At 36.6% G+C, this 16,083-nt stretch overlaps 1 protein-coding gene across 2 annotated transcripts in view, besides 1 other annotated feature; it reads right to left on the bottom strand.

The window, feature by feature from the left end:
- TPH2 (tryptophan hydroxylase 2) overlaps positions 1–5,290 on the bottom strand; it is a 93,596-nt gene extending 88,306 nt beyond the window's left edge. For both annotated transcript variants that reach the window (XR_001748575.2, NM_173353.4), the window contains exons 1-2: positions 5,044–5,290; positions 2,402–2,551 (exon numbers count right to left, since the gene is read on the bottom strand). Coding sequence is in view for 1 of the 2 variants with exons in the window: in NM_173353.4 (NP_775489.2) it covers positions 2,402–2,551; positions 5,044–5,148 (255 nt within the window). In the remaining variant the exon portion in view is untranslated. The remainder of the gene's footprint in view (positions 1–2,401; positions 2,552–5,043) is intronic.
- Positions 5,125–5,424: a silencer, noted in NCBI's record as "fragment chr12:72332491-72332790 (GRCh37/hg19 assembly coordinates)". NCBI's record gives its function as "represses an EF-1alpha promoter that drives an FKBP-Casp9 reporter gene in an ReSE screen in HepG2 liver carcinoma cells {active_cell/tissue: HepG2}" and the evidence as "EXISTENCE:reporter gene assay evidence [ECO:0000049][PMID:32094911]".

Here is a 16,083-nt window from a genome sequence, read left to right as displayed (position 1 = left end):
TTATTTCCATTAATAAAAAATCTATATATTTATACTTCTGTGTATAGGTTGTCCTGCCTCATAAAAAAATAGAAGGGGCATTTAAAATATAAAGTGGCCCTGTAAAATGAACATCATCATTTCCCACAGAGTGGTACACATCCCACAGGTGGCACGTGATTATTTGGGGAAAAAATTATTTATTATATTATCATGTAATATCCAGATTTATGTGTTTCTGAAAAACATAACTAAAACTCAAACCCCTAATATAAAGTTTTCTTTTAAAATAAAGTTTTAAAATAACCTTTCAGAAATAAGCTTTTATAATTTTTTTATAAGTAGACAGTACAAAAGGCAAGCAGAAATTGGGGAGGTGGCATGGAAATGACTGAGGCTTGGGAAACACTAGCCAAACTGTAACCCATATGGTACAAAAAGAATTAGGAGCAAGATAAGTAGTCAAGACAGGATCTTTGAAGGCAAAAGGAAAACAAACAACTTAGATGATTGCAAGGAGGGTGAAAAAAAGGTAAAAAAATAATGATAATAACCCCTAAATGGGATCATTTAATAATTGCTCTCTTTTGGCAATCTTCAAACTAGCTTCAGCCAAGGATGTGTTGCTGCAACTATCACTCTATGATGGATCTCAGAGATAAGGGCAGTGATTTAATATTTAAAAATCAGGTTAGAATTTCCCCCAGTGATGTGTTCTTCATTTCCTCTAAGTTAATTGAAGACTCTGTTCTCTCCATCCCAACCCACCTACAAATAAGCAGACATCTTCTCACTCCAGATGATACACTGTGATTACCAACACAATTCCTGATGCAATCCTAGATGATCTCAGAATTTTCAGCATAGGAACAGGATAGATAGTTTCCAGTGCCAGCATAGTATCAAATCAAACAGCACCCTCTCCTATATAAAGAAACTGGTCTTGTGATGAGGAAACTAAATGTCCTATTTCTGTTTTTATTAACCTTTACAATAATATCATGCATGTTTTTTCAGTTGGCTGATAATAATATTAAGATTAAGTTCAAGGCCCAATAGACTTCACATACATTGTGTCACGTTGGGCTTTTAATGACCTTTGGTTGAAGCAGAGTAGATGTTTTTAGGGGAACTGAGGTCCAGATGGGTTAAATGGCTTAGCTAAGGCCCCGTGACTAGCTGATGGCAGAGTGAAAACTCAGGGCTGCTAACTCCTTCTCCAGGAATTTATCCACTGCACCCAGCTGTCTAATTGAATTGGCCTGCCGTTGGCACTGTATGGACACAGCCTTGGATGACATAATTGTCTGTAAAATATTTCCTCAGATTTCCATTACCACTGTTTATGGTGCCTGATCCTTTCTTCGAGGTCAAAAGAGAAAAAGAAATTATTTGCCAAATCAGGCTTCTAATTCCCCTGCTATGATCATCATAGAGGCATCATAATAATGCCTCATAGTTGTACACTTTACAAAGCACTTTCACTCATATTATGTCGTCCCAGCAATCCTGTTAGGTAGGAATTATTAATGCAATTTTACAAATAAAGAAATTGAACCTAAGTAGCAGCTAGTGTTTAGCCAAGCCAGGATAACACAGGTCTGAACCCCCTAACTGCAATTGCAGCTATCTTTCCACTGCACTAGCAGCCCAAGGCATCACGCAGAGCTAGGTTCCTTATCTTAACAGCTCTCATCAACCGCCACTGCCCCCAAACAAAATGCATTTGTAAGGGAGGGTGTTTGCTGATGGGTACAGAAACCATTAGGTACATGCTGGCAAGAACACAACAGCTTTTCTGGGCTTTTCCAGCCTCATCCCTAACCAGGATCTTTCTTGAGGGTTCAAACTACAGATTTGGGCCTGAGAAGATGCTATGAACATTTCTATAAGATAAGGGAAGAGCTACCCCAACAATATATAATATAAGGAGAGTGACTCATCTTCGCAAAAAGATACATTAAGACACATAAACAATGAGACTTAGGGGAATACCGTGTGCCTATATTCATGTATCTCAGTTTTTCATAATAAACATGCTCCTAGGACATGTGTAAATTCAAATTTGAACAAATCAAATCAAGTTGCAGGCTCTTGCTACTTAAGATACCCTGTTTGGCTCTTGTGTTTTCATTTTCAGGTGTGAAGCTCACGTTTTTGAAGTACTGACCTCCTAACCTGGCAATAGTCTTCAGAGTTCCTAACCAGCTAACTCTGCATTAATAAGCCACAGCTTAGGCAATTCTGCTTATTTCATTGCTTGACAGACAACTCCCCTTTTAAAGCCTCACGAAGTTTGGTTCCTTTGAATCTTTCACCACATTATCCAGAAATTGATTCAGTAATGTTTCATAGCAGATAACAGGTTTGTACCCAGGCACACGGTCACTTTTAAAATTATGTAATGATATTTCACATTCACCTGAAAGAGCCTCAGTGCTTTTACCAATCCACCAACTTCATTCTTCAAGGAGAAAACAACTGCTGTCTTGCCACTTTCGGTAGCAGCTTCACGTTTGCTGCTTCCCTTGTTGCCTTTGTCGTCATTTTTGCCAGAGTTAGGTTTATTTAGCTTCAGGAATGTCGAAGCATAATAAAACAAAATATTAGTTAGGGTTCCAGAATCCTCCGTAATTAGATTTTTCCCATACATGTCATTCATAAGCTGGAAGCTCCACCAATCATACAAACTTAAGGTGAAGTTGCCGTGTCACTCATAACTTTCAGTCATAAATATTGGTCTAATTTATTCTGAGACACTATTTTCCAATGGTCTAAGACATCATCTAGTGGTTGAAATTAAAAGGGGATCAGATTTGCTTCACTTTAATAGCAACAAAAACCTGACTGTCGTAACGCCTGCAATATCATATATGAAAAATTCCTGCCTTTCTAGGATTATTTTACAGCACAAAATTTGATCTCTTAGCCTCGTTGAATCCTATGGAAACTATATTAATTACTAACCATATTAAAAATAAGATCAAACATATTTTTGAAAATAATTTTAGTTTCAATTAAATTTTAAAAACAAAATATCGATTTCATTCCAAAATATGTCAGCACATGCCCAGAAATTAATGGGTAGTATTACTTTCTTCAGTTAGATCCACATTGTCAATGTGAATCTGCCTGCAAAAGTTCAGCACAGACACATGTATAACTAACTCTAAGGCCATCTGTGTCAGAAGATAATATTTGAGAAGTGACTATTAAAATTCAGTGACAAATAAAAGGAAAAAAGGAGAAAGGCAGGAAGGAAGAAACCTGGCCAGCTAATTATTAGGGGCAAACAGTAAAAATCTGAGAAACTGAAAAAGATTAACACTTCATTAGCCACTTAAGATTTTATATTGCCTGATGAAGTAATGTCTATTAATCCTGCTGGCTAAAGAAAAAAATGACAGATTCCAGTAACTCAGGTCACATTGCCAGAAATGCAGAATAAAAAGCTGGAAACTTTATTTAGGAATAGAATGGGAGGAAACAAAACAAAAACAACAAGCTGGAAACTTTCATTTGACAGACAATGCAAAATTATGTGGTCTGTTTTATATTCTTTATATGCAAATACAGCATTGGGCAGACATAGAAGTAACTCCTGGCAAATGGTGATTTAATACAATCGTACCAATCTACTACATCCTCATGAAACTGAGAAATGTAGGTTTGCTTTGGGACCCAGTGAATAGTTATCTGCCATTGTCTTCTTCTGATTTCTCTACTGGCTTTATTTTCACACATCAGTATTGCCTTACTCACTAGATTTATATATAATAGAGATGGAGATTTTATTATTTATGACTTGAGGGAGGGAAGAAGTTTATGCAGACATTGACATTTGACAGTATGTTTAGTCATTAAAAGCTCAAATGTCTCAGTGTTCTTAACATCTGCCTCCTCCTCACCACACAACACACAGATCTTGCATACAGAAGTAGCATTTTTTATATAAAAGGGTCATACATTAACCATTACCCTGAGCTTACTTTGTTTTCCTTCTAGCAGTTAATTATGACTTCAAAACTCTTCATTGTAATATCTCATCCAAATATTCATGATATTTAAATGTTAAAAAATCTATTTACATTTTGGCCTCATTTTTGCAAATTGATTTAAATAATTCTACAGAAGTTGCCATGTTTACTTTTCAACATTTTTATCAGTAATAATATGTCAGTCCAACGCAGCCCTCTGGCACATATTTGGAGCTACGAAATTAAAACAGATGATTCTATGATACAGACTGAATTGGATTTGGTTGATAAACTCTGATAGTACAGTAATAAAATACCATTTAATATTTTTAATGACTAGGACCTGGATACATTTTTATTTCGTGGTTTTTATTAAATCCCATGACTACTACCTGAAAGCAGGATCTAAAATCCTGCAAATACTGCTTTTTTATCCTGTAGATATTATAAACATAAAACTCCCTTAAATACTATAGCAAGTGGTGTATTGCTTTCATTATTCCATCAAGTAAACTGAAAAAAATTGAGCAATGTGAAACACAGAAAAACTTTTGAAAGGAATCCAATCTTTCTTTTATTCCAATAACCTGCACCCATAACTAAGAAGAGAAAATAATAGTTCTATGTTTAAAGACCAGGCTTTGTAAACTGAAGGGGGTGTAGGAGACACAATGATCTTCTGAAAACCGTGGAAATTTATTTAATTTGTTCTCCCTACTCCTCCTCCTCATAATAAACGGCTTTTCAAAATTCTTCACACTCCATTTTTTTTTTTTTTTTTTTGGCTGTAGATTTAAGACATTGATTCATACAATCTCTCATTCTTAATGTTCAGGAACTTCTTAACTCTCTACTTACAAACTTTGCGGAAAAAAAGTTGAGCACGCAGTGATTGGCACACTCGCTTTACTTATGGAGAGAAGAGGAAGACTGGAGGCAGACAGGAGGAAAGCAGGGTAGACAGATTATAAAGAAGGAGAAATTTGAGGTGTGCGTGCTTACACTACAAAAGGGATTCATATGGTGAGGAGAAGATGGTCACACCCTAAAAAATAATTCTCCATAGTGCCAGGTACGTAGTACTCACTGTTGAGCTGCCAAGTAGCTGATGCTCTTCGGGCACTGCTGAATCCAGGGAAAACCCTCTCCGTGCCCAGTATTTACTGGAAAACATCATCATTGCTGGCTGCATGGATCCCGGTGTAATATTCTTTCTCTGCAGCAGGGGGTACTAGAGGGGCAGTAGCAGCGCTGGCGGAGATTGAGAGGAAGGGGCGTGCGATCAGCTGCCTGCTTGGGGCGCTGTCCAGAACCCTGGTGCTGAAGAGCAATGCGAATCCTCCCATCCCCGGGCTCCTTTATATGAATGACTGGAGACTGATGCAAGACTGATTAGAAAGAAACTCATTTCTGGTTGCCGATGGCCACAGTCAGATTACAGACCTGAAGCCTGGGGTTATCTGTGCTCATAGTGTGATTTGTTTCATAGGTCGAGTAGCTTTTTGGGCGGGGGTGGTGGAGAACAATACATAAGGGGGTGTTATTTGTACAAGAAACCATCTATCCTCTGACGTTAGTTCTCTCATCTCTCAAGCCTGCCACTGGCAAGTTAACCTCAGTCTTTAAGCAATTGTGAATTCAAAGATTTTGTGCTTTCTTTCCAAAATTAGAAAAATAATTTAAGAAAGATCAGCACTGCTGAATGCTTAAACCATTTTACGGATTTTTTAATTTTTAATTTTTATGGATAACTAATAGTTGTACACATTTATAAGGCACATGTGATATTTTGACACAAGCGTACAATGTGTAATGATCAAATAAGGTAATCAAGATATCCATTGCCTCAAGCATTTATCATTTCTTTTTGTGTTAGAAACATTCCAATTCCACTCTTCCAGTTATTTTAAAATACAAAAGAAAATAAATTATTGTGCTCCCGAACACTAGATCTTATCCCTCCCATCAGCATATTTTTTTTACTCATTGACCAACTCCATTTTATGTTAATAAGCTTTTTCTGACTTGACATATTCTAATTTTGTGCATGCAAATGTGTGAGTGTATATATGTGTAATGGCTTTCATAAAAGGGCTTCTTCTTAATCCTGTGATGCCTCTATGCAGAGTTATATGGAGGAAAATGTATTGCAAAGGAAAGGTAAGGGTTCAATTTAGCCACATGTAGATTACATATAGCTCAGATACTAATCCTGGAATCTTCCTTACTAAATGAGAAATAAAAGGAAACTAGATTCCCATATATCAGCCATTCATTTTAATACTCTTGTGGTTTTTCTCTCTACTGGAAATCATGGAAATTTAATCTTTGACATGACCCTTTCATATAAAAAGTGCTACTTAAATATACGAGATCTGTGCGTTATGTGGTGAGGAGAAAGCAGAGGTTAAGAGTACTATGACATTTGAGCTTTTAATGACTAAACATACTGTCAAATATCAATGTCAACTAGATCAAATCCAGCAACTTGACATGCATAGATTAATCAATATTCTTACTATTCAAACCTTAGAAAGTCATAAAATTCACCAGGCCACAGGAAAATGTTACCAATCTCCTGAAGAATGAAAAACTCTTGACCAAATGTGCTTGTTTGACTGAAAATCTAAACAAAATCTGGTGCTGGCACTGCTTGTCTATATAGAAAAAAAATTTCAAAACAAGTCGGGATGAACTAATATTGACTGAAGTTTAATTGTTTCTGGAGTCTTGAAGAGACATAATTATTAATTGATCTAATTCTGAAAATATTATTTGGCTTACATTTTCTGTAAGGGTCAGCTCTAATCAGCTAATAGGAGAAGCAAGTTTAAATAAGGCAAATGAACTAATGACAATAATAGTAGCTAATGTTACTGAGATGTAATGAAAGAACCAGAGATGTGAAGGGATAAAATCCACTAGATAGTGTCCCTGCTTGGATGTGGAAATGAGGGAAAAAAAGATATTAAAAGTAATTTATTTATAATATATATTTAGAATATTAAAGATTTAACTACTTTTGCTCACCCTGGAAACCCTATTAAAACAAGATAAAAAATTCCTTTTCAAGGTACACAAGAGTCGCATAAGTTGGAAAACAATGGCAACAAAAAATTAGCAGCTTGAAAGAAGAAAAAACTGATCAAAGGCTTTGCAGTCATGGGAAAGCTGAACCTTAAGCTATCAATGAAGAAGACTTAGAAGCAACGCACTTTACATGACAGAATACCCTAAAGGCTCAAATACCTCTGGAATTGAAGGTAGATGAGACTGAAAAAGAGTGGTTCAAAGTGTGAGAAGCAGTTAGACAAATCAAAACTTATAACAAAGTTACAATAATCAAGACAGTGTGGTACTAAGGACAGATATATAGGTAAATGAAATAGAATTGAGTGTCCAGAAATAAACCCTTACATGTAGAGGGAATTGATTTTCAACAAACGTGCCAAGACAATTCAATGGGGAAAGAATGATCTTTTGAACAAACTGTCCCGGGACAACTTTGGATATCCACATGCAAAATAATGAAGATGGACTTCTATTTCACATTGCACACAAAAATTAACTCAAAATGAATCACAAACACACATGTAAGAACTAAAATTAAAATTCTTAGAAGAAAGGATAGGAGTAAATGTTTTTGACTTTGGATTAGGCCATTGTTTCTTAGATAGGACACCAAAAACATAAGTACCTAAAGAAAAAAATAAGATTTCATCAAAATTAAAAACTTCTGTGCTTCAGAGGACACCCTCAGAAAAGTGAAAAGACAACCCACAATGTGGGAGGAAATATTTATAAATCATATATCTCATAGGAAACAGTATCCAGAATAAAAAATTCCTACAACTCAGCAATTAAAAAAACAGACCAATTTTTAATTGGGAAACAAAATTTATTTGAGACAGCTGGCTTTGTTACCCACAGTGGAGTGCAGTGGCACAATCATAGTTCTTGGCAGCCTCAACCTCCTGGGCTCAAGTGATCCTCCTGCCTCAGCGTCCCAAGCATCTGGGACTACAAGCACAGGCCATCACACCCAGCTAATTTTTTGTTGCTGTTGTAAAGGCAGGGTCTTGCTATCATGCTCTGGCTGGGCAAAAAAAAATTAATAGACATTTCTCCAAAGAAGATATGGCCAGTGCAAACAGGAAAAGGTGCTCTACATCAATAGTCATTAGGGAAATGCAAATCAAAAAACACAGTATGACTTCTGACCGACTAGGATGGCTAAAATAAAAAAGACAGACAATAACAAATGTTGGTAAAGAAGCAGAAAATGTGGAACACTCACACATTGCTGGTGGTATTATAAAATGGTACAGTCACTTTGGGAAACAGTTTGGTGGTTTCTCAAAATGCAAAACATAAAGTTACTGTATGACTCAACAATTTCACTCCTAGCTATGTGTAAAATGGTGTAGTCACTTTGAAAAAACGTTTGGCGGTTCCTCACAAAGGTAAAACTAGAGTTACTACATGATTCAGCAATTCCACCCTTAGGTATACACCGAAGAAAAATGAAAATATACATCCACACAAAAACTGTACATGAATGTTCATAGCAGCATTATTCATAATAGCCAAAAATAGAAACAACTCAAATACTATCACCTAATGAAAAAAACAAAAAATGATACATGATAAATAAAATGTTATTTAGCAATATAAGGAAATAATGTACTGATACATGTTACAATATGGGTGAACCTTGAAAATATTATGCTAAGTGAAAGACGCCAGTCACAAAAGACCATGCATGTATTGCAAGATTTTGTTTATATGAAATGTCTAGAAGATGTAAAAAGAGATCGTTTTAAAAAGAGAGAGAGACACACACAGAAAGTAGATTAGTGGCTGCCAGGGACTGGAAAAAAAGAAGAGGTGGGGAATAGCTGCTAAAAGGTACAAGGTTTCTGTATGAAAATGAATTTTTATACAGAATTTATCACTAATAAAATTCATACAGAATTCATCACTAATAAAATTAAATATTAGTGATATTTACACAACTTTGTGAATATACTAAAAACCACAAAATTGTACACTTTAAGGGAGGGAATCTTTTGGCATATATATCATATCTCGATAAAGCTGTTATCTTATTTTTAAAAAGGAGTTAAAATTCCATATTCCCCTTGACTAAATAGCCAAGCCACCTCCTCTTTTGCCCCCAGGTAGAAAATTGAAGGTTATTCTCTGGAAAGGGTAAAACAAAGGGCCTCTGTACTTAGGAGCATCAGGCATAGTTGAGAATACGGGTACCATTCTGATTAAATGAATGTATTGAGGTAGTGAGACTCATGATATCATGACATGGAGACTCCCAAACCTCAGAAGTCTGACAGCCAGGCATTTATTCTCCAGCCAAATAAAGACAAAAAATATCTTTGGAGAATCTGGCAAAGGCAAGATCTTAAAACACACTGAAAGCTCAGATAATATTGAAAGCTCTGAACAAAATAATGCAAACAGATTACCCTGTAGGTAAGCTCACATTTGACAAGCCTCAATTTAAATATTTGGTAGAGAGTGTGGGGTTAGATTAGTGACAACTGTATATAAAATCAGCCAGTAAAAAACCTTGATAAGAATTAACTCCCCAAGAAAAATGAAAATTAGGGCTGAAGGGGAGCATGTCTCATTTGGGGATTACAGTTACGAAGTCATAACATAAGCACTAAATATTGACCTAACCAATATTATATCAATTATATTAGAAGACAGACAGATAAGAAAGTGTGTATGTGAATAATAGGGGCTGTGGGGAGAGGGTAAACAGCTAAATTCTTGTCTTCCAAGATGAAAAATCAATGGTTAATGCCTAGAGCTGAAAATCAAAGTAGTAGCAGCATACACATATTACAGCATTGGGACATATGGAAGTAAATACCACAAGCATGACCTGACAGTTGAAAGTCTCGCCACTGGTGGGGGTTGGGGAGGGTAGGAGGATATGGATGGCGGGGAGAAGGAGAGGAACAGTTTCTCATAACAAAAAGTCTTGTGGAAACCATGTACCTGTGTGATATTGATTACAAAAATATAAACTTTAAAAATACATTATGCCGGGCATAATGGCTCAGGCCTATAATCCCAGCACTTTGGGAGGCCAAGGCAGGATGATTGCTGAGGCCAGGAGTTTAAGACCAGCCTGGGAAACATAATGAGACCCCATCTCTACAAAAGACAAAAATAAAAATAAAAATTACTAGTGTAATGGTATGTGGCAGTATTCCCAGCTGCTCAGGAGGCTGAAGCAGAAGGCTCGCTTGAGCCAAGGAGTTCAAGGCTGCAGTGAGTTATGGTCATGCCACTGCACCCTAGCTTGAATGACAGAGCAAAACCCCATCTCTAAAGTAAATAAATAAATAAATAAATACTGCATGGAAATAAGACATTTTTAAAAATAAAACTAAGTTTAAATCTTCACTCTGCTATTTGCCTACTTATGCTTAATCAGGACACATTACTTCACATTTTTCAGCCTCCATTTCTGTAATAGTAGGGCAATAATATCTAAACCTTATAGGGCTGTTATGCTGATTGTATTGTATATGTATAAAGTGATTAACATGGTGGCTGGCAGATATTCGACACTCAAAGTGTTAATTATCTCCCTATGCCTCATTGATTCTGAAGCCAGAGTAATATAAAATTGAGCATTGGTTTGCAATATTTGACAGAAATTTAAGAGACGTGGATACCTAGGTTTTAATGAGGTGGTTGCCCTCATAATTCATGATAAGTAAGAAGTCAATAGTCACAAGGTAAGCCAACAGAAGTGGCTTGGATCAAGCAGCTAAAGAGGCTAGGCATCAGGAAGCGAAAAATTGGGTGGGAAAATATAAAAAGAGATACTGTCAGATAAGGAGACCTCCAATATAAGATCTTACAGGTGTAAGAGGGCCATGTGATCATGAATGGCCATGACGGCAAACAGCTGAGATATGAAATAGGGGTCCACAAAATTAGGGAAGTTTTATATTAAGAACACCAATGAGTCCTCAACATAGGTATTTGTTGTCATTGAGGAAAGCAGTGAAATGAGAGAAATACTATAAACTAGTCCTTAAAACACCTGGAAAAATGGAAATGGCTTCTGAGAGGCTGTAGCCCATATGAACAAAGAAATGAAAAAGGCAATATAAATAAACTAAGACAACCAAGGGGATGCTGAAGCATCCATGGCCCACAACTGGAAGAGACCAACCTATCCACACCTACCAATTTCCATTTCATAGACAGAAAGTGAGAGGCCTGAGGACTCCTTATTTCTTCTCCTTCCCTTACCACTCACACCCACCATGCTGGCCAAGTTAGAAGCCAGCTGGAAATGCAATGTCGTGAAGAGAAATCTAGGCTTCAGCAGTGCAAAGAAATGTGTTCGGGAGAAAGAATGGAAGGACATGAGTAGACTTAAAGTAAGGGAGAATTTGCCTGGCAACACCCCAGTGTGAATGGAGAAAGCAGGTGTAAAGTTATTAAAGGATAGATATTGGATGTGAGAGTTTGGAGATACTCAAAGCAAAGTGAGAGTTTCAAGATTGGAATTCGACAAAAAGTCTGATTCCTTTTCCTTTAATAATTTGTCCTTTAGGTTTTAAGCCATCATTCCAGTCTATCAAGTATGTGTCACAAGCAAATTTGGTGCATGTGCTTACTATGCTTAAATTCATGTTGAACAAGGCAAGAGAAAGGGCTGACCTTTATATTTATAGCACACAATCAAGCTCACAATTAGTTTGGCTGGATTTTTTTCCCATCAACTTTGTCTTCTAGAGATTATAGGGTATACTTTGGTCTTCTTGGCAGCAATTGTTCTCTATTACTACCAACTGCTCCTAATTTTGTCAAATTAACCACATGAATATCATACCAAAATAAGTTTATTGCCTATCTAAGGTGCTTCCTTGATTTAGTAGTATTGTAACTTATCAGTAAAAGGAAATGAAATAAGCATGCAATTTTTTACCTTTAGGAAACTCAAGCAGACTCCTCCATAACACCATTTTATTTTCAAGATATGCACAAACCAACATCTCTCCTGACTTTGAGTGAAAAGCCTTGATTATTAGTCTCAATAGTCAATATGAGTGATACACTGTGCTCAGATGAAAATTTCTGAAAATTAATACTCAAGTGGCTTTTAGCACTTCAACTCATATTGTAACAGATGGTGTTTATAACACAAAAAAGTATTTGTTCCTGCTGATTACTCTCAAATACTACATAAACTATCATTTTGAGAGGGAAAAAGGATAAACAAAGAAAAATTGCACTGAAACTTTGCATGAAGGCTGTGTCAACCATCTAGACATGCAGATAATACAATCTGACCTGAAATCAAGCAGGACAATTTGGTATCAGAGTCTGACCAAATTGACCTAATGTTGAAGCATAACCAAAAACAGCTGTCCACAATATTAAGCATTAATTTGTTGCCTAATAAAATGTTCACTGACTGTCAGACACCATAATTTCCCATACTACTAAAAATGTTTAATGCAGACATGTCATTTTTAATTTTGATTATTTATTGACTTGAGGGTGATCAGACTTCATAAATAAGCAAAACATAAGCTGTATCTTACACTCATCTTTCATCATTTTTAATAATAATTTTTATAAAGGGGGAATGGATAAAAGGCAAGCATATCTAAGCAAATATGAAGAAAACTGAAGCATAAAAAGAATGGTGATTTATGGTGGGGTCAGTGAGGCTGTGGCTCAGAAGAAACCAGAATACACAGTTCAGATTTGGAGTCAAAATGACCTCAGTCAATAGAAAAAAAACCAATGGGTGCCTCAAGGCTCTATCTGTAGGATAGTATGTTTGGGGAGGAAAAGCAAACCATGTAGCTTTAAGATTCAAAAAGATAGTTTGTGGCAGTATCTATTTGGTTGCCATGAAATAATAATGATAGCATTTATAAGTGCTTTATCATGCCCAGTACCATATTAGACATTTTATATGTACTCCATTTACTCCTCACAACTGAGGTAGGTAATATCCTCATCTACAAATGAGAAACTGAGGGCTGAGAGGCCTGGTCACAAAACTAAGAAGCAACTGAACCAGGTCTCAGACCCATGACGGACTCAATCTGTGTTCTTAGTCTAAGCTTTTTGTTTTACTTCATAAGTAGACATTTTCTAATATGAACAATTCAGTTTGACTAAATTATTTTCTGACATTTGACTTCCAAAGCTTATAGAATAAATTTTATATTCTTTGCAAGAATATAAAGCACCTTATAAAGGTGACCCAGGCATCCAGACTCCACCCTGAATTCACCTTGAACTTGAGAAAACAAGCCCCTAAAGCAAGTTGTATTATTTGAAGTACCACCTATCAACACGGCTCACATTATTTGAGTTTACATGGGTATACAATTCTAAATTGTGGCCAAGAAACTTTGGGTCAGTGATAGCATATAAATTATAAGAGAACAAGAATAAAAATAAGGCATATAAAACTTCTACTTTTTTTTCTTCTTCTTCTTCTTTTGAGATGGAGTCTTGCTGTTGCCCAGGCTGGAGTGCAGTGGCACGATCTCGGCTCATTGCAACCTCCACCTCCCCGGTTCAAGTGATTCTTGTGCCTCAGCCTCCCTGTTAGCCTGGATTACAGGTGTCCGCCACCACACCCAGCTAATTTTTGTATTTTTAGTAGAGACAGCGTTTTGCCATGTTGACCAGGCTGGTCTTGAACTTCTGACCTCAGGTGATCCACCCACCTCAGCCTCCCAAAATGTTGGGATTACAGGCATGAGCCACCGTGCCTGGCGGCAGTTTTTTAAAGCAAGCTTAACAACGAAGACTGTATTTTTTAAAATCCATGGTGATGCTCTTAGACAATGTGAGACTTTAAGGAAAACTCAGGAAACTTAGGAAATTAAAATATGAGTGAACCCTGGACCAAGGCTAGGCCTCTTATGGATCCACTCGGTATTGTGAAGCTATCAAATACAATATTTATAATTCAAACCTTCTTACAGAATAAACTCTCTTCTAAACTTACTTCTTTATGTCTAATTCTGAGGGGTAGAGCTGAAGAAGGATGTGGAAACCTCAGCAATCCAGACATGGGAAAAAGTGTCACAAAATCAAATTCAGAGTGACCCATAAAAATGAGAATTTCTGTGGTAAAGAATCTCCTTTTCTACAAGTGTTGTGTATGTGTGTGTGTGTGTGTGTGTGTGTGTGTGTGTGTGTGTTGTTTTTTTAAAGGAAGTTGTATTCTTATGTTCAGAATGATTCAGTTGTCCTGTTAGGATTAAGGGGAATACATTTGGAGAAAGAATTTTTTTTGGTGGGAGGGCAGATAGTCATCACCTCAAGCACTTATCGTTTCTTTGCATTAGGAACATTCCAATTCTACTCTTTACTTTGAAATATACAATAAATTATTGTTAACTATAGTCACCCTGTTGTGCTACCAAACACTAGATCTTATTCCTTCTGATTGTATTTTTATACGCATTAACCACCCCTTCTTTGTCCCACCTCCCCACCACCCTTCCCACCCTCTGGTAACCATCATTCTACTATCTCCATAAATGCAATTTTTCTTAGCCTCCACATATGAATGAGAACATGAAATATTTATCTTTCCATGCCTGGCTTATTTCAATTAACATGTCCTCTACTTACATCTGTGTTGTCACATCAGAATTTTATTTTTATGGCTGAATAATATTCCATTCTGTATATGTACCACATTTTCTTTATTCATCTGTTGATGGATGTGTAGGTTGAGTCCATATCTTGGCTCTTATAATCATGCTGCAATAAACATGGGAGTACGCATCTCTCTTGGATACTCTAATTCCCTTTCTTTTGGATGTACACTCAGCAGTGGGATTGCTGGACCATATGGTAGTTTTTTTAGCTTTTTTTTTTTTTTACTAACTTCCAAATTGTTCTCCATGGTGGTTGTACTAACTTACATTCCCACCAAGTGTATGAGAGTTCCCCTTTCTCCACATCCTCTCCAGCATCGGTTATTGCCTTTTGATAAAAGCAATTTCAATCGGGAAAGGATTCTAGTGTGTCTGACTGATGGCTTCAGAATTCTGCCATCTGAACTAATTGACCACATTCTTATTCCTTAAATTCCATCCCTAAGATGTGCCTTTGCCAAGACAACCCATCCACTATGTAAGCTGTAGCTTATGAAGCGCTTTTCAGGTATGAAATGTCAATGAAAAGGATTTTCTCCTGTCTTCACTTGTCAATAAAACTTTGGCAAAAGTCATTCTCCACAGAAAGTTCAAAGGTTAGTTTAGAAAAACATTATTAGTAGGATGTGGAGGAAGCTAGTGAGAACTATAGTTTCTCCTCCTTTAAGAAGTCATTAGCTTTTACACAGAATGCTTAAAAGCTCTGTTAATCAAAAAAGAATAATTTGTCCCAAAGTTATTCAAAAGTTGAATAACTTTGGGATAAATATTTGAGCAAGTTTTAAAAATTCAGCTTTTAGACTTCACTACTTTACACCTTGATGTGCGAAAGAAGGAATAGCAGATGTCCATTTGGGGGAAGAAGTGTGTAAAGGGACATCTATGTGTTTATAATAGTATTACTTTTAAAAGTACAAAAACTAAAAGAACTTACATTTCACTCCAAAAACTTAACAATTTAATCTCTATATAATCTATTAGGGTTACATGCTGTTAACTTTTTTTTTTTAAGAGATAGGGTCTTGCTCTGTTGCCCAGGCTGGAGTGCAGTGGCACCATCATAGCTCAATGTAACATTAAACTTCTGGGCTCAAGCAATCCTCCCGTCTCAGCCTCCCAAAGTGCTGGGATCACAGGCATGAGCCACCATGTACAGCCTAAATACTGTTAATTTCAAATGACTTACTTCCTAGTCAGCAAATACTACATTTGGCTCATTTAAGACTTGACTTAGCTAACAAAACATGTGGCCAAAATCTTTCGGTACGTACTCCATATTCGTGCCCCTGACAGTGACTGTAGGTAGCATGCAGTGTTAATGCTGACATTCAGAAGTACCTTGATGGCTCTCCTACTGGAGAGCAACTTGCTTTCTAAAGTGAGTCAGTTACACCAATGGAAGGGATTCTAGTACCTACATGATCAGGGAAAACAACACT

This window comes from Homo sapiens, chromosome 12 (assembly GCF_000001405.40).
Source record: "Homo sapiens chromosome 12, GRCh38.p14 Primary Assembly".
In the NCBI taxonomy this organism is placed as follows: Eukaryota; Metazoa; Chordata; class Mammalia; order Primates; family Hominidae; genus Homo; species Homo sapiens.
Note: the sequence above shows the minus strand (reverse complement) of the source record. Positions and strands in the feature narration are given on the sequence as shown.